The sequence below is a fragment of the Homo sapiens genome, chromosome 21 (assembly GCF_000001405.40).
Source record: "Homo sapiens chromosome 21, GRCh38.p14 Primary Assembly".
Taxonomy (NCBI): domain Eukaryota; kingdom Metazoa; phylum Chordata; class Mammalia; order Primates; family Hominidae; genus Homo; species Homo sapiens.
The window spans coordinates 34,893,485-34,912,714 of NC_000021.9; the positions used below are offsets into that span (position 1 = coordinate 34,893,485).

A 19,230-nucleotide genomic window follows, 5' to 3' on the forward strand; every position below is an offset into this window, starting at 1 on the left:
TTATTAGAAATAATTGTTACATGATAATTCCCAAATATGGATCACTTACTGTATACATTTACAACTATAGGTAAACCCATTAAGCAAAGTCACATGAAGCTCTTTTTCTTTCCTTTGAATATCTACATATAATGTTGTGAATTTGAAATTACTCTATCAGCCTTGTATATTGATAACAGCACTGAGTCACAAAGAGGAAATACTGTTCTTTAAAGACAGGATTTGAGCATTTCAAATGCTGCAGACCTAAAGCTTTCAACTCCATGCCACAATATTTAGTATGCTGTTTTTTTTTTTTTAAAAAAAAACCTTTAAAATAAGAGGAGACAATTACTTCAGATTTCTAGATGCTGTTTAAATAGGCAGGAAAACAAGATTTGCAGCTTCTTTAGTCTTATATTTTTGCCAAAGTAAAAGGAACAACTAAAATAAGAGGTTCTGAAGGACTGCTCTATGATGAAATATTAAAGGAATTAAATATGTATAGTCTCAAAGGAGCATCCAAAAAAAAACGAGATTGTGGTTCACAAGTAGATAAAATGACTCCATGAAGACTTTTCTTTTTAAAGAGCAAGGCAGAGAACTAATCATTTGCACTAATTGTGAATGATAAGGTAAGAAATAATAAATGTATCCTGAAGTTACGTCAGCTCAGCTTTAATAGGTGTTGGGGCAGTGGGGTGGGGGTGTGGAATCCACAACGGTAAGACTGACCAGACAGCACACCCAGCGGAACCACGCACCCTGGAAATTATGTCTTGAGACCCAGAGAAGCTTTTCCATGTCTGAGTCTAAGAAATTGGAGTAGGAGAGCAAGAAAACACAAGTTCATCTACACACCTAATAGTTCAGCAATTCTGAGGAAAATGCCAGGATTTTTTAAACCCAAAAACAAGGGCAAAAATGAGTGGATTTTGAAAACTGTGATTGGTAACTATTAAAAACTTTCTTAGTTTGTTGTGTATCAGCAGCCTTGAGAACACAGCAAGTGTGGTTAAATTGGGGAGGGGGAAGGGGTAGGGGGTGAGCAACTGCTGCCCAGGTGAAGTAGCACCTGTGGAGGTTTGAAGTGATTTGCCCATGAAACTGTTAAAGATGCCAGAACCCAAACTGCAAGAGAGGGGAGGTTGCGTGTGTTTAAGACAGTGAACAATGAATCTGGTAGCCCATCCTCCAGTGTGCTAGCTTGCATGCTCTCTCTCTGTCTCTCTCTTCCCTACATCCCCCATTGAATGTAATTATATGCCAGGCAATGGGTGAAGTGCTTTTATATACTTTGCCTGATTTAATCCTCACAAGAACATCATTGCTACCCCCATTTTACAGATAAGGAACCTCACCCTTGGAGAGTTCAGGTAACTTGCCCAAATTCACATCACTCTTGACCTACATAGAAACACACACACACACACACACACACACACACACACACACACACACACACATATTCATATCTACATATAGGTCCACATGCATGGTAAGCTATGTTCCTTTTGGATCATGATTATTTTTGTGGCTATCCTTGGTAGAGTTCTAAAAAATTAACTCTGATCTCATCTTTCACTTTTATCCCCCCCGTCTCAGGGTCTAGATCAGAAAATATCTTGGAAATTCTTCACCATGCAAACCTCATATCATTAGGAGTCAGATTTTAATGTCATTTCTGTCATCCACAGAGTTTGAGGAGAAAGCCAAGGTCCATTTGGCTGAGAAGCTTTTATATTGATAATAATATAAAATGGCGTTTTAGTCTTTTCCCACCTCCACTAGTTTAAAAGGGCATCTTTAGGACTTTCCTAGATACAAGGTATTTGATTCACCTGCCTTCAGCATTCCTTGAATGCTTCCTCTGTCCCAGGCAAGGTGCTAGGCTCACTGATGACAAACACCAAACAGATGAGAGTAAAGAAGTGTCATGGCTGTTGGTGGACACATGTCCAGGGTCCCAGGAACTGGTGGGAGGGAATATAAGAGGAAGAGGGGCCAACAGCCCCTGGTGGGCTCAGGAAAGACTTCCTTCCTAGCAGAGGTGATTTTTGACTTGACTTTTGGAGGTTGGGTAGATTTTTAGGTGGTTCAAAGAGCTAGAGGAGGGGTTTAGGGAGGTGACGGTGGGGTGGGGAAATGGTGCTCTGGGCTGAATAAGCATCATGAATAAGGGCGTGAGTTTATGAAACACATCAGTGTGTCAGTTCCAGTACAGTTGGGGCATAGGTTTGAGACCAGGTTGGGGAGTGGGGGAGGGAGTGCAGCAGTTCAAAAATACATAGACGTAGATAGGTCATTGGAAGCACAAGCAACCTGAGGAAATGTGAACTTCAACATGCGGGAAAATTGATCTGTCAAAGCCAAACAGGGAAATAACAAAATTAATATATATATTAGAAAAATAAGTCTGTCAACAACAGCTCGGTGAGTTGGAGGGAGTAGAGATGAGGAGTGGGGAGCTATAGCAGTTGTCAGACAAGGGGTCATGAGGATCTGGATTAAGCAATGGAGATGGAAGAGGGGATTGAGGTGAGGGAGGGGGAGGAGTCTCCCCAGCATCTGTCCTTTAATAGTAGTAGAGAAGACCAGAAACAGCGGGTTTACAGAGAGACATCGTGATGTCTCTCTGAGCTTTGGATGCCCAGAACAGAATAGGAGGTGCTGGTGGGGAAAACAGGAATTCTGGGGAGAGGTTTCATGTAGAAATAATGAGCTGAACATCCTTAGAATATCTATTGTAGTTTCAGATTGTATCTAGGGTACAATCAAACTCTATGCTAGTTTCAGAGACTGTTTCCAGTGAGAAGAGACCATTCTCAGGTTCTGGGATTATCAACATTCCAGGGTGAGCAGAAGAGGGAGCAACCAAGGAGATGGAGCTAGGAAAAGAAAGAGGAGAGAATAAGTAATAAGAGTAAAGGAAAATGCAGCCGGGCATGGTGGCTAACGCCTGTAATCCCAGCACTTTGGGAGGCCAAGGCAGGTGGATCACCTAAGGTCAGGAGTTCGAGACCAGCCTGACCAACATGGTAAAACCCTGTCTCTACTAAAAATACAAAAATTAGCCAGACATGGTGGTGGGCACCTGTAATCCCAGCTATTCAGGAGGCTGAGGCAGGAGAATCACTAGAACCCAGGAGGCGGAGGTTGCAGTGAGCCAAGATTGTGCCATTGCACTCCAGCCTAGGAGACAGGATGAGACTCTGTCTCATAAAAAGAAAAGAAAAGAATAAAGGAAAATGCCAGCTTTGGAGGAAAACCATGGCCCAAAGGCCACAAAGGGGCCATGAAAACAAGGACTGAAAATATGAAAATATTCCACTGGATTTGTCTACAGAGAGTGCCATGTAACCTTTGCCAAAGGAGCTTCAGTTGAGTGGCAGCAGCAGAAATGGAGCAGAGAGTAGAAAGCGAATGGGATGTAGGGAAGGAGAGAATGAAATTTGTTGGAGGAGGGAGGGAAACTGGTGAGGTAGCAGGAGGAGAGAAAGACCAGTGTTGAGAGGTGTTTGTGTATATATATGTGTGCATGTGTGTAAGATGGAAGCAACCTGAGAAAATTAGTGTTTGCCATGTGTATTTTACTGAAAATAAAATTCATCAGTTTCCACTTCAACCCAGGTCTTCCTCTTGTTTTCCCCACTGCACCATCATTCTCCCAGTTTCCAGACTTGGATCCATGGATTGATCTTTGCCCTCATCCAGTCTGTTGCCAAGATCTCTTTTTGATTTCTTTGGTTGATAACAATTCGGCCCCCACCTTTCAATTCCTATTGACATCATTCTGGTTCAAGTTCTCATTACCTCTCTGAAGATTTCTTACAAAGATCTCTGAAAAAGGGGGTTCCTGCTAATTGTATACAGTACTTCCAGATTAGTCTCCTGCACCATAGTTCTGCTGTGTTCTCCTGGGCATCTGGAATTCAATGCAAGGTCTTTAGCACAGTTCTGCAGGATTAAGAGCTACCCTTCCTGTCCTCATCTTGGAGGGGGGCAGATCCTTCTGCCTCAGGTGAAATTGCCTCTTAAAGACCAATCACATGCTTTATCATCATTTCCACATCTCCTATGTGACTTGAATTATAATATATTTTGGGTTATAGCTATTTAAATATATTGGGTGGTGGGGCGGGTGAGAGGAAGTGGTGGAACCACCCCTTCCCTGGCTTCAGGTTTCCATGTGGAACAACATTCCTTAGTGTAAAACTCTTGACCTCTTTTTACACCCTCATTCCTCCTCCACCATAAAAGATTGAATTACCTAGTTAGTAGCGTTGGAAGCAGAAACTGGTTGTAGAAGGCAGAAGCATAAAATGAACCCCTCAAACTTTCCACCCTAATCCCTGGGGCTGGGAATATGATGAGTTGTCATGCTCTGGTTATGTTACATGGAAAAAAAGAGATTTTTTTTTGCATATGTAATTAAGGTTACTAATCAGTTGGCTTTGACTCATGCAACAGAGAGATTTTCCTGGTAGCCCTAATCTAATCACAGGAGACCATTACAAACACAGTGTTTTCTCAGGCTGGGGCAGAAGTGAAGTCAGCATTGTAGCTAGAAGACAGAGCAGGCACTTGCAAGAACTAGAGAGCAGTCTCTAGATGCCGAGGGTGACCCCTGATTGACAGCCAGCAAGGAAACGAGGGCCACTATGCTACAGCCCCATGGAATTGCATTCTGCCAACTACCTGCATGAGCTTGGAGGTGAATTTCTCCCTAAAGCCTTCAAGTAAGGGCTCAGGTTATCCAACCCCTGGATTTTTGGCCTTATGAAGCTGTGAGCAGAGAATCTAGTACAGCACCACCAGATTTCCGACCTGCAGAACTGTGGGCTAAATTTGTTTAAGGTGCTAAGCTTGGCAATTTGCTCGTTTTACAGCAATAAGAAAACAAGTACCCTGGGCATGCTCTTTCCCTCTCCTTATTCTTTTGGGGAGACACTGCTTGGGTATTGGTGAGTGAGTCTCCCTATTTCTGGAGCTCAGTAGCAGGAAGCCACATACCTAAGCCATGCTCTCCAAAAGTTCTATCAGTGACCAAGCTGGTATTTTTATCTCCATCTGCTTGACTCCTTTGTCATCTCACTGTTGATTGTGGATCACCGGAGAGCAGGGGTGTTTTTTATTGAGCCTCCTAACAGCCCACCAGATAATTGTCTTCATCTCTCTAGATTCACTCTCATTCCCACACAAACGCACCAGTGGATTGTGAACACCTTGCCAGCGAGGCTGTGTTTTACTCACCTTTAAATTCCCTAGGCAGCACTGCAGAAAGTGAATGCGTACCTGAGCCCCTGTGAGTCTGGTTAACTACAGATTCTGCCTCAGCAGGTCTCGGAAGAAGCCTGAGATTCTTGGTTTCCCATAAGCTCCCAGTGTTGCCACTGCCGCTGGTTCAAGGTCTGCACTCAGAGTTGGAGGATCCAGTATCTCAGATAGAACTTTTTATTTTTATTTTTTAGACAGAGTCTCACTCTGTCACCCAGGCTGGAGTGCAGTGGCATGATCTCCACTCACTGCAACCTCCACCTCCTGGGTTCAAGTGATTCTCCTGCCTCAGCCTCCTGAGAAGTTGGGATTACTGGCACGTGCCACCATGCCCAGGTACTTTTTGTATTTTTTGTAAAGATGGGGTTTCATCATGTTGTCCACGCTGGTCTCGAACTTCTGACCTCAAGTGATCTGCCCACCTCGGCCTCATAAAGTGTTGAGATTACAGGTGTGAGCTACCACGCCTGGTGCGATTGGACTTTTTAAGCTGTTGTTATGGCCTGAATGTTTGTATCCCTCCAAAATTCACATTGAAGCCCTAATCCTCTATGTGCTGCTATGAGTAGGATATGTGGGAGGTGATTAGATTAAGATGAGGTTGTGAGGCTGGGGTCCTCATGATGGGATTAATGCTCTTATAAGAAAAGACCAGATTGATCTCTCTCTCTCTCTTTCTCTCTCTCTCCCTCCCTCCCTCCACCGAACCCAATCGTGCTGGTACCCTGATCTCAGACTTCCCAACCTCCAGAGCTGTGAGGAAATACATGTCTGCTGTTTAAGCCACCCAGTCTGTGGTATTTTGTTATAGCAGCCTGAGCTGACCAAGACAAGTATGGTAATAGAAGTCACCAGTACATCTTCTATCAGGCCTCACAAGGAGCTGCTTTACATACATTATCCCATTTAATTCTTGAGCAGTGAGTGGTCCATCATTACTCCCTTCACTTTACAAATGAGGACACTTAAGATTTAGTAATCAGCTCACCCATTCTCAGCCCATGCAGTTTGCCTGCAGAGTGCCCGGTTGCAGCCAGCAGCTTGCAAGATGGTCAAAACATTGTATTACCAGTCAAATTTCCTTATTAGATCCTGACAAGTTGCCTTTAAACCATTAGGACAGGCTGAATTCAGAGGCTCAAGCTTCTAACTCCAGTGCTTTGGAAGGCCAAGGCTGGATGATTGCTTGAGCACAGGAGTTTGAGACCAGCCTGGGCAACATAGCAAGACCCCATCTCTACAAAAAACAAACAAAAGCTATGTGGACATTCTTTCTTATTCTAGAGCAGCACATCCAATAGAAATATAATGAGAGTCATATACATAATTTAAGATTTTCTAGTAGCCACATTAAAAAAGTAATGGGCAAAATAAATTTTAATATGTTTTATTTAACCCAATCTATTGAAAACATTGTCATTTGAACATGTAATCAATATGAAAATTATTAATGAGCTATTTTACATTTTTCTTTTGTTTCTGTACTATGTCTTCAAAAGTCTGTGTGTATTTTACATTTATAGCGCATCTCAATTTGGTTTAGCCACATTGCAAGTGGTCAATACTCATTTGTGGCTAGTGGCTACCATATTGGACAGTACAGTTCTACAGGAACCACTCAAAACACAATTCACCCTGGATAGCAATTTTGCTACTAGTCTGCTAGTGCTTGAGTGAGCTGTTTTTAAACTGCTGTTAGTGAGGACCACTAAATAGTGCATCTTACTTGACTCGTGTTTTCCCTCTGAGCTGTCCTGAAGCAAAGTTCAGAATTTTTATTACAGCATGACTTGATTGACTCAAAGGTGGAAGAACACACATACTCAGCAGCAATAACTGAGTTGCAAAGGCCTACTAACCACTGACAACACCACTAATGCATTTTTACAGCCATGGATAGCCACAAGTTAATCTCACACATTGTTCATTTCCACTTAACATTCACCAGTCATGCATGCCTCAGCCTATAAAACAGTGCTTTGGTTTCCTTGAGCTCGGAAACAATATTACAAAAGCATCTCCTGTCCCTTTCTTTTCCAGCAAAACCAGTTCCCTATGAAACACACCTGACGTATTTTTAAATATAAGCATTATGGATCAGAAATTGGAGGTTCTATTTTTAATAGGCCATGATTTTAAAATAGAATTTCCAATTGGTTAAACGATACTCACTCTCAAATAGGAATTCCTATAAACAGGTTTATTTTGAAATATAGCATATAAATTTTTCAAAAAGCCATCAATGTTTCAGTTTGCTGGCAATCTACCAGTTAAAACACAGTAATAGATCAATTCAGTGAGGGAGCTACTGGTCTAATGGTCTAAGCTATGGAATCCATCCTCATCAGAAGAAATAACCAAGGAGCGGGAATGTGGGGAGAGGTTCACAACAGAAACCACTGCCCCTACTTGCCTGTGTTGGTTCTTAAGGGGCTGCTGGGAACCCCTGAAGGTCCAAGTGTCTCTTTTGTGCAAAGATAACAGTTTCTGGCTGGTCACGGTGGGTCACGCCTGTAATCCCAGCACTTTGGGAGGCAGAGGCGGGTGGATCATGAGGTCAAGAGTTTGAGACCAGCCCGGCCAACATGGTGAAACCCCGTCTCTACTGAAAATAAAAAAAGTAGCTGGGCGTGGTGGCGGCGCGTGCCTGTAGTCCCAGCTACTCGAGAGGCTAAGGCGGGAGAATCGCTTGAACTCGGAAGGCGGAGGTTGCAGTGAGCTGAGATGGCACCACTGCACTCCAACCTGGGGGACAGAGCCAGATCCGTCTCAAAAATAAATAATAATAATAATAATAACAATACCAGTTTCTATCTGTTAGTCTTACGGGTTGAAGACAGAGGTTAAGGGGCCAACGTGTGGACCCTGGAAAGGGTGTGAGCCCTTCTCCACATTCTCTTTGGTGTGGGCCCTTCTCCACATGCTCTTTGGTTCCGTCAGCTACAGACAGAGGTTATGTTTTAAGAGATAGACTGAGAAGTCACTCTCCACATGAAACCAGTCTTCTCTTCGAGTGATATCCTTCAGCTAAGCATTGTGAGAAAGTATCCAAGTGGAGCATCTGAAAATTGCGCTCCAGGGAGGGGAGTTTAGGGACTTGTCCATGGCTTTCAGTTCCCTAATTGGCGAATGTCACACTAGTAAGATTTTCTGGTGGATGATAGATGCAGAGTCTATAAAGTTGCTAATACTTCTGGAGTCTGCTTTCTTTTGTAATCTGCTTTATTTGAGGCATTTTAGTTAATATATTTAAAGCTATTTCCACCACAATGAATAGGAAATGTGACATGATTTTTCTAAGTTGAGTAAAAAAGAAATGAATGAATGTATGAATTGAAAGCAGGGGTCCTGTTCCTCATGTCCCACATGCTATCCCACAGCAAATGCTCCTTCCCAAACAGAATCATTTATTTGGATTCTTTGTGTTTATAATTTACTCTTTCACTAGGAGAATTATGAGATAGAAAGTATTTTTTCCTTAAGCAACTTTTGTGTTCAAAAATAACAGAGTGATTTTAATTGGTTCTTGAAGGGAGGAGGGTAGGGGATTAACTGCAGACCAGCTTGATAAGACGACCCTTGGTGAGCTGGTAGAGCAGTAGGTAGGTCTATGTTAGACCTTAAATGTGGACAATGGTGGGTACAGGACAGGCAAAGGAAATACCCCAAAGCTGGCTGAAACAGCAAATTTCTACATGGACAACTAATTCTTGGATACTTGGAGTAAAGACATCAATATATATTATAAAGACATAAATACATATATATTCTATATAAAGGTATACATGAGATTCACACACACAAATATATTATCTTCAAATGATAGCTAGGTAATCATTCACTCAGATTCCAAATTCAAAATTTAAGATTTAGAGTTATTGATGACTGGATTAATTCATGCAATTAACATGAACCCCAATATATTTGAGTGCAGGAGTACTCACTATCTCATAAGGTAGAGGAACCTGTAGGAAGTTTGTTACTAGCCATGTGAGCAAGTTAGTTACTTACCTTGCCCCAGCCTCAGCCTCCTCATCCACAAAACAAGAGGCTTGGACAAGGTGGGTTTTCCAGCTCCAGGAACATTTATGCAAATGCCACTTGGAATTGTGGGAAATCGGCCCGGGTCTGGTGCTTACCCATGTCAGCATATGGCTAGAGTGAACTTGGGTTTCGAGTGGGAAGGGGCCAGGAAGGAAAAAGAGGACCCAGAATCAACTAGAGATAGGACATTTTAAGGACTTTCCCATTTCACATAGGTTTTCTCTAATTTCACATAAGTATTGCCTGTTTTAAAAAGCAGATTCAAGAAGATATGATTTAAAACAAGTATACACATAAAAATAACTCTGAGATTCTGCATCTTCTAGAAAATCACAGACATGTTGCTATCGTATTCTATAATTTACATGGTGATTGAGAATAGACCCACAGTTACTCAGTGTTATCCAAAATAATTTATTATTATAATCACTAAAAATATTACAATTCAGCTCTTTGATTAATTCTGTTTACTCCATGCCCACCAAATTAGTGAAGTTTCACTATGTATATTACAAAATAATAGTTTAAAAATAATATGGATGTACAATATAGTTTAATTCCTATTCAATAAACAGATAAGCTTCATTATTATTATTACAACTGTTACTACCTCAAATTTGTGACTTTTTTACTAAAATAAAATTTTTCCTATTTATGATCCCATATAGACTATAGAGAAATTTCCCACAAACATAGCAGAATTCCTTAGAAAGGGAATATAGAAGCTTTAGCTAAATTTTGGGTGCCGAATCACCTATTTGTTTTGGGACATAGAAAGTCTACTCAAGAATCCAGAGTAAGACCTTGATCTCAGTCTTGCTTACAAGGTCTTGATCTGTGAAGGAAGTGCTGAGATATCTACATTTGTCAATTAAATAATAAATTGCCAAATATCAGCCTTAGAGTATTCTATAGGCACTCGGATAAGATGGCAAATACTTTCATATTAATCCTGTTATCTTCAAATTTGGAAAACAGACTGTTATAAGAAACAGTTGGCTAAGACTATCAATATCCTGCTTTCTTGTGGGGTCATGAAATTGCCATAGTTTACAAAAACTTTAAAATTTCATGTTGTAGTCTGAAATAAAAAATAGCTGGAAAAAGCAACAATAGAAGTAATAATCCTATTCTCTAATTACGTAATTATATTTTCTAAATTTCATGAAACTGCTAAGATCTGTATTGTAATGGTTACATATTTTCAGGTTACATTATTACTATTATACAATTGATATTCAATAAATGATACCTTTTTATGGGTAATACATTGAAATGGAATAGTAAACATTTTTTGCGGAGACTTCTCATAAAACATCATTGTCTACCTCTCAAACAATAGTTAAGTGAGATTTAAACTTTTTTATATGATTGTTTTGGACTTGCTTAGAAAAATACTACCATTTAAAACTATATTCTAAAAGGTAAGGCAAATTTTGCTAGAATTTTTGAATTAAAAAATGGTGATATTTCTGTAGAGTTATCTTTTTGAAAGGTAGAGAGAAAGAGTGGAAAGATTTTTTTAATAAAATTAAACTAAAACATCTGAAAATAGATATGACTTGATAGCTAATTTTTAATTTATATTTATACGTGCAATGAAATCTATATTCAGAGATCATCCAAAAATTATTAGAAACATACAAACAACACTTGAAAAATGTTATCACATATTTTTGCAGAGTAGGTTGTTTTGAAAACAGCCAGAGCAAAGAAACAGATGATCACCAAAATATTACCACAAATGAGCCCAAAAATAAATTATAGGTCATTTCTAGTTGAACCACTGACCAATTAGTGCACTAATCTTAAGTAACTACATAGCACACTCCCATTTTTTTCTTTCCTAGTTATCTTAACAATTCAAATGCATGTGAAGATACCCATTTTGAGGAGAATTTAAAATGTATTATTGGTTGATACAGCACTTCTAGGTAAGTTCTCAAGGGGGGCCTGCAGCAAATATTTACATAAATGTGGACTTTAAGATTGTTTCAGAAGTATTCTGTTTTAGGAGGTTCTGTAATTGTCAACTTCTCGGTTTAGGAAGAACCTCACGTTTTAGAGAAGAATATTCTAGATCAAGTCTTTTTCCTTAATGCAGAAATAGTAAAGTTTCTAAAATAGAAATCATTTTGTTTAGCCTTCTCTTTAACCAAAAACACCAAATAATGAAGTAGACTTCTAAGGAGGAAAGAAGAAAACTTTACCAAATATGCCAGTGGGGGCTCCACTTTTAGTCTGCAAACCTCTACACCTGGGAGCTGCGCTGTCAAATTGAGTCAGGTCCTGATTGAGCTGAATGATAGACACATAGTGCCCAGACACCGTGCACAGTGAACTCACTCTAGGAGACCCGCACGCCCCCTTCTCCCAATTCACCCACTGCTCTGGAGGTCATTATTTAACACCGGCAAATTGAACGACAACATGAAATGAAGTGCAAGATGTAGATATTTCTTCCCCCTCACTAATCTCGCTCACAAGAGAATTCATTCTTTTCTTTTTGCCTCAGGCATATCCAGGCTAGCAATTTTCATTTTGCTACCTAAATGATTTCCCCATCCCCCACCTTTCCCAATTAGAGTGGAAATGGATTAAGACTTCAGGTTAACCCCTCCGTTACTGGGAATGAGAAGGAAATAACGTTATTATGTGTAAGCTTTATTTTCACCGTTGTGTATGATGCTCTTTTCTGATCATGGTAAACACAGATTTAATTAATCCCACTCTCCCCAAAAGACATTCCTTTAGTGAAGATATGACACTGCCTTAAGGTAAAGAGCAAGAGAAAAACTTCTTTAGCCAGAATGTTATTCTGTTAACTTGTCATCTTTAAAGTGTTCTAGAATGCTTATGAGTAAAATTAGGAAATTTGGATACAAAGTAGGAAGTTATATGGAAGCATAAAAGCACATTGGTTCTTCAGTTACAGAGAATGGATACAACAAAAGTTAATACTTCCTTGGTTTTTACTAAGCTTGAAATATCTGGATCTAAAAAAATTAAGTGTGGGATAAATATCTAGAAAATGCTGGATCATCTGAAACTTATCACGTAGCTTTTCCCCCTACAGAACCTAAAAATAAAAACTTCTCTAGAAAAAAAGCATCCTCTCTTTACTGATCTTTAAAAATTTTAAATGTTGAAGCCCTGAGTATGTATACCTCACATAACTCCTCTATAGCAACCTATAAAACAAGAATCCTCTCTCCTGGTGGTCTGTTTATTTTGCTATGAACAAAAGGGAAGGAGCTTCAGTATTTCTGAAAATAACCTGAATTCCCCTTTGAGACAAAGTTTTGGATTTTCGAAAGTAAATGTGGTACTTTTCTATTTTTTAAACTAATATATAAGTGTACATACTATTGGCTTTGTTGGTCAAGAAAACAGTTTATCATACCAGGAAGAGACTGGGTAGCAGAACAGCAGCCTACGAATGCATTAGATTTGGGTTATGCTGGGTTTTGACAGGTTTGGGGGTTTAAGAAACTGGGTTGGTTCGTCACTAGGAATCCATTAAGTGTTGCTAGTCCGTGAGGACAGAGAAAGCTGTGGAATTCATTCCTCAAAAGCAAAAGCCTTATTTGTGCTAATAGGGTTATAACAACTGAGCAAATTTTAGTGGACAAATAGTAGAGGTCCTTAACATTTACTGAGCTATTCTGAGCTTCAGACATTGTGGCAAGGGCTTTCTGTGCATTATGTCATTTAATCCTTTTGGTAATACTATTAATTTAGGAACAATTATCCCCTAAGGCTTAAAGAAGTTAGACAACTTGCCCAAGGCCACATAGAGATGGAGCAGTGAAAGTAAGAATTTGACCCAGTCAGTGCACAGAGTAGACAATCTTTGAATTACATGCATTTAAATAAAAAAAGGCTGTTCTTCATAGTTCTCATTGAATAAGTTTCATAGACAATGACTTTCCCAAAGGACTCCTTTTGCTTCTGAAGGGCAGCCACTCTCCAGTTAAAGGGGATTTGCAAACAGGCCCACTCTGGATTGCAGTACAAGGAAAGGAACTGCTTTAGAAACACAGAACCCAGATAGATGGATAAATATTTCAATGCCTTTCCAGAATAGTACTTAAGAAGCAGAGCCCATCTCAGTTTGGGTTTGAGCCCATGGCCTTATGGTTTAAATATAAAATGCATTAAAGCTCTTTATTTAGAGAGTCACGTGCCCTTTTGTGGGAGCAGCCCCAATTCTCCCTCTGACTTTAGTGAGTGTACAATGCAAATAGGTGTTTTGATATTGTCATTAGTATTCATTATTCATGAGGACTTGATCGTGTATTCAAAGTCAGCCAGGAGGGTCATGTGCCCCCTTCAGTGAAAACCTTGACTCTAAGGACAGCACTTTCCTGGTGTACAGTCTTTGGGGGCTCTTGACAGCAAGAAAACCTAAACAGGAGAATCCCACTTAGCATCTGCCCACAGGTAAGGGGCACAGAGAAGGAGATATAGACTTCTAATTTAGCAAAAAGAAGTATGCTGCCATGTGAAAAGTTTCTAAACAGTGACTTCTAAACAATAGGTTGTGACCCATAGATTGGTTGTTAATAATAATAATAACAAAAGCAAGGTAAGAAGAAGAAATAGAACAGAATAACTGGAAAATAGAGTGCTTCATCAGTAGTAAGGGTGAATACTGCTTCCTGAAGCTCTTTTTTTGATTGATGTATCTCCCCTGAGCCCTGGCATACTATTTACTTCTTACTGTTTCTTGCTATTCAAAAAGTTTGCAAGCCTCTAGCCTAAAATGTCTTATTTTCTTAGTACTCAATTTGTTACTTGACTTGGTGTTTGGCTCCCTGTGACTCTCTGAAGTTCTCCTTTCTGTGCCTCCGCTTCCACCTTTGCCAAGTCTAAAATCATGCCATGTAAAAGTTATCAAGAAAACCAATTAAATCATAACTGCCGAAGTGCCTTGTCAAGCTAAACAGTCATGAGAGGTGAAGGATTATTATGAAATAAAACAGAGTGAAGCTGTTTTGAAGGCCATCCTTCTGTGGAATAGCATTGGGTCATTTCGTTCAGAGGCGAAAAGATTCTTAGCAAACATTGGGTCATTTTGTTTAGAGGTGAAAAGATTCTTAGCAAACATTTTGTCCAATCCATTTAGTTTATAGAGGGAAAAGGAGGCTCTGAAAAGTGAGTGGCTCTTCTAAGCTCCCGAAACAGTGGCTGATCTGGGACCCCCTGACCTGTGAATTTGTGGTCCACCCCCATGCTCTGCCACTCCTCCAAGAGCCGTTTTGCTACTTCTTTAAAAAAGGGAGGGTCTTATGAAATTGTATTTACAGAAAATTTACAACTCATGCAAAGCTAAATGGATTTCTTCCCTTTCAAAGTGGTTTCCTGATTGCAATCACATAAATTAAACTCCAGCCCCAAAAAAGTCATTCGAACAGAGTAATGATACATCTCCAAGAAGAGATACAGAGAATTCTTTGAAATTCTCAAGAAATAATGCAATGAGATGCAAAAGGGTAACTATTATTAATCTTCTTCCTGAAGTGTCAATCAGGAAGGTATTTTTAAATTGTATTGGAAAGGAAGAAGAGACAATGTTTCTTCCCATTAATGATCTGAACTGAAAGTAAGGGAGGAACTAAAAAATGTGCAAAATGTCCTCGGGGAAAAAAAGTAGTATAAAACATAGTCTTGGATGATACAGCAAGGTCGTTGCTCAATTTTATGTTGTAACACTATTTTAACTGTCACCAAGGGCTGGGATAGCAAATATTGCATCAACTCTGCAAGGTGTTTCCTGGGTTTTGTGGACAGGGGGGTCGGGGGAGGTGCAATCTCCATTCTTGTGAAGGCCAGATAAAGACTTCTGCTGCAAGCCACTATCTTTTTGTGCTGAAGCTGTAGATAACACAGTTTCACACCCTGCTGCCCAAGTCCTGCTTTCCCAATTTGTAGGTCTTTATTGCAAAAGTCTTTTGTGTTTGTTTTATCAGACACATTTTATCATCCTTCTCCAAACACCCTTTGTCAAAGTCAGCCTTTGAACTTCTTTTGCATATACATAGAATGGGACCAATGATTCAGGATATGTAACAGGCTTATCTTATAATTCTAAAGAAAGAGGAACAGAGCCATTGACCTTTCTTCTATATTTTCTTGGGGCTGGTGTGTCTGTGTGTGTGTGTCTGTGTGTGTGTATGTGTGTGCTAGGGGTAAGATGTACAATCTCATTACCTTTAGAAGATAATGCAATAGATTATCCTATACCAATAATTTATGCCTTTTAGTTTTGCACAAATTAAACCTGAATCTTAAAGTTCAACTTGTCTAGGATTGTACTAAAGGCCGCATTGCAGGTAGGGCTAATTTCGGGGTCTGATCCGTGTGGCTCCCCATGCTCCTGACAGTACACCAGGACCACTCTGTGTTCACTCCCGTGTGCAGTCCCCATGCTCCTGACAGTACACCCGACCCTAAGATTCTTGCTTCGCTTGCCTTTGATATGGTGATCTCTGGAACTGAGTATCAAACCTTGCTTGAGGAATTAAAATGCTTGCTCATATCACTTATATCTTTTAAATGTGGAAAACAGAGAGAATCCACTTGGAGCACATCAGATAGGTTTATTACTTTGTTCCTCCCTTGTCATTTTTTGCATGTCTCACATCAAACCCTCCTCTGCAACAGTGAAAATATAGGATGGGATAGATGAAGAAGGTGGTACTCCTTCCTTCTCTGGGCACAGAGGCAATTTCTCAGTGCAGCTCACATGTGGCTACAAACACAGAGTATCACTTTCTTATACAGACCAGGTCACTGTTCCTCAAAAAAAAAAAAAAAAAAAAGATGGTGTTCTATTTGATAACCTGCACTTCTCCAGAGTGACCTCTTCAGCTGAGTCTGGAAGACTGCCTTAGGCAAGTCCCCCGGGTCTCTGGCTACAGAGGGCCATCCTCCATGAGAGATGAGCTTGTTTCATTGTTGCAAAGTATAGCCAAGCTGATACATTTTAGCAAGACTAAAACTTAATCTTTAGGGTTCTGGGTCCTTTCATCAAATTTCCTCTGCTCACACCATGATCTCCATTGTCTCCTCCTCCTCCTCCTGCTCCTCCAGTTCCTCTTTCCTTTCTTCTTCTTTACCTCCTCCCTCCTTGCTTCCTTCCGCCTCTTCCTCCTCCTCCTTCTTCTTCAACTATTATCTACCAAGCTGTGCCTGGGCTGCCCCCAGTGTTTTGCAGTGTGAGGAACTTCTACAGGCCAGCTTGGCCACTGAAAGAAGCCAGTGATTAATGTAGTTTTAAACAAATCAAGATTTGCATAAATTGGCTCTGAAGTCAGCTTCTACAAACCAGCTGGAACACTCGCCATATTCCTAGTTCAGTGCTGTCTTCCCAGTGGGTTCTCAGACTTTGCAGCTCACCCTTAGCCTTCTGTTGCAGGGAAACCACATCCATGTGGCTCCCAGTCTCTGGCAAGCCAGCAAAGGGCTCCAACTTCTCTTGCTTTCTCCACCTTCTCCTCACTGGCTGGAGCACTCAGGACTCTCCCAGGTCCTATTTTTCTCCTTTTGGTAATTTCCTGATAGAAACTCCAGCAATGAAGATAATTTTCAGAACTGTTTTTTTTTTTTCTGGTACAGAATTCATTTTGGCTTCTGGGAACTAAGAAACAAATGAACTGTCTTTCTGAAGTCAAGAACTGTATAATGAAAGCTAAATGCAGAGGCAAAAGCCACTGTCGGTTGCCCTTTGTCCTCTCTGTCACCAGCCCTGGACATGAGGGTGAGACAGAAAGCCTCGCTCTTCCCCAGTGAAACCCTGCAATTGTTCTGTGCCAGATGAAGCCCTCTTCAGATGCTGGACAGGGTCCAGGTGCTGCCCTGTGAGTGGATGCCAGCCTCAGTCCTCATCCAGGCCAGGACCATGTCCAGGGCGGGCTTGCTCCTGAATCACATGCTTCCAGTCAGGACTCTGAATGCAAATGCTGGTGTTTTGTATTTTTTGTCGTTATGTTATTGTTGTTCTTTTTTTTTTTGAAACAAGGTCTCACTCTGTTGCCCAGGCTGGAGTGCAGTGGCTCACCGCAGGCTCCAGCTCCTGGGTTCAAGGGCTCCTCCCACCTCAACCTCCCAAGTAGCTAGGACTACAGACACACGCCACCACACCCCACTAATTTTTAAACATTTTTAGACATGAGGTCTCCTTATTTGCCCCAGCTGGCTGTGAACTTCTGGCTTCAAGGTGATCCTCCTGCCTCAGCCTTCCAATTAGCTCATACTGATGTTTTATTTAAATATCGCATAATATTTCAGTAAAAGGCCTGCAAAGAGGGCACAGAAAGCATTTTTTGGAGTTCACTGGGGGCAGGACGAGCTATCCCATTAGGTGGGAAGGGGTCTCTTCCTGATATGCATCATACAGCTGCTTCTAGTGGTGGTACAGGACCCAGGAGAAGAAGAGTAGGTGCTTAACAAATATTTGCTGAATAAAGGTTGATGAAAATCAATGTCGACAATACATTTATTGGGATCAGGTAAGGAACAAAGGTGATATTAACAACAGCTGCCACCTGCGTCTATTACCAGACATCTCATAGATAGCAACCCTGGGAGGGAGATCTTACATACATGAGGACAGAGGAATGGGAGATCCACCAAGGTGCCTGACAGCTGCATTTGAACCCATACTCAGATAGAGGAACCCTCTGCAGTCTGCTCAGGGTTGGAGTTTGTGGCTGGGAGAAAAGAGGAACAGCCTCTGCAGCCAACCCTCCTGGGCAGCGAATGTCTCCTCCCCACACTGCAGTGAACCCCTGGCCATCCTTCCAGCTCTGCCCTTGCCCCACTCCAGTAAAGCAGCCAGAGAGTGATACACATTAGATTGTGTCTCTCCTCCACCCAAACTCCTTGACGGCTTTCCAGGGCACTCAGAATTCCAGGCCCTGGAGGAAACCAGCCCAGCCCATCACCTAGACCTGGGAGCACCTGTCTCCCTCGGCTTGCTCTGCCATAGCCTCTGTCTGTCTCACAGACGCGCCAAGCTTTTTCTGCCTCAGGACCTTTTCAGGGGCTTTCCTTCTGCCTGGACCACTTTCCTGTCTCTAAACTCCCCCAGTTTTCCCCATGGCTGCTCAACCGTCATCTACTAAAGTAATGGGTAAAGTAACCCCGCTCCCTACCCCTGAACCATCACAACTATCATGTCACATGCACGGGTTTCTTTTCACCATTGCATTTGTCTTATTTGATTTCTGTGTTTATGTATTTGTTGTCCATCCTCCAAGTGACAGAGGGAGTGGATGGAGTGAAGGATAAGTTTTGTCCTGTTCACTGCCCAGCATCAAGAAAAGTGCTTGGAACTGAGTAGATAGTCAACAGACACTTCTTAAGAATGAATGAATCAATCGATGACAATGAACTGTAGCTGCCACCTCCTCCAGCCTACGTACCCTGAGGCATCCTAGATCTCAGAGCAAGGAGATGATGACTGCCAGGCATTGAGTGGTGAAAAAATATTTTCCTTTGCTACTTACTCTTCTATCACTGGGTGGCAGTAAGGCTAGAAGCCTGGGAAATCTCCATCACCCGTCCTCTCTGTTTTGCGATACTCTTGGGTGCCCTGAGGGCTTTAGAGGTTGCTGCGGTCAACAACCTAAGCAACCACTTCTGAGTTTCTGGCATAGTGGCAACCACAACTGGCCAGTAGGTCGAGGAGGCCTCTGCTTAACATATTGCACCGATGTTTTGGTTATGCAAATATATGGTTTTTCTCATTCCGATGGAAAACATTTCTGGCCAAGTCAAAACTACAGAAACACAGCAAGGAAGACTCATCTATATAGTCCCCTCAGTCCCATTGCCCCAGCCTGGGTCCCTCTTTTTACACCCTCAGAAGACTGTTCCCATTGCCTTCCTAGTCTTTGAGATGCAGGCATTTGGAAAGCACACATC

General features: G+C 41.3%; 1 protein-coding gene across 13 annotated transcripts in view, besides 1 other annotated feature; it reads right to left on the reverse strand.

Moving 5' to 3' along the window:
• The window catches only part of RUNX1 (RUNX family transcription factor 1), a 261,502-nt gene that overhangs the window by 105,684 nt on the left and 136,588 nt on the right, over positions 1-19,230 (reverse strand). The window lies entirely within an intron of this gene.
• Positions 14,908-15,202: an enhancer, noted in NCBI's record as "tiled region #10978; K562 Activating DNase unmatched - State 5:Enh". NCBI's record gives its function as "activates a minimal TATA promoter and a strong SV40 promoter by Sharpr-MPRA in K562 cells {active_cell/tissue: K562}" and the evidence as "EXISTENCE:reporter gene assay evidence [ECO:0000049][PMID:27701403]".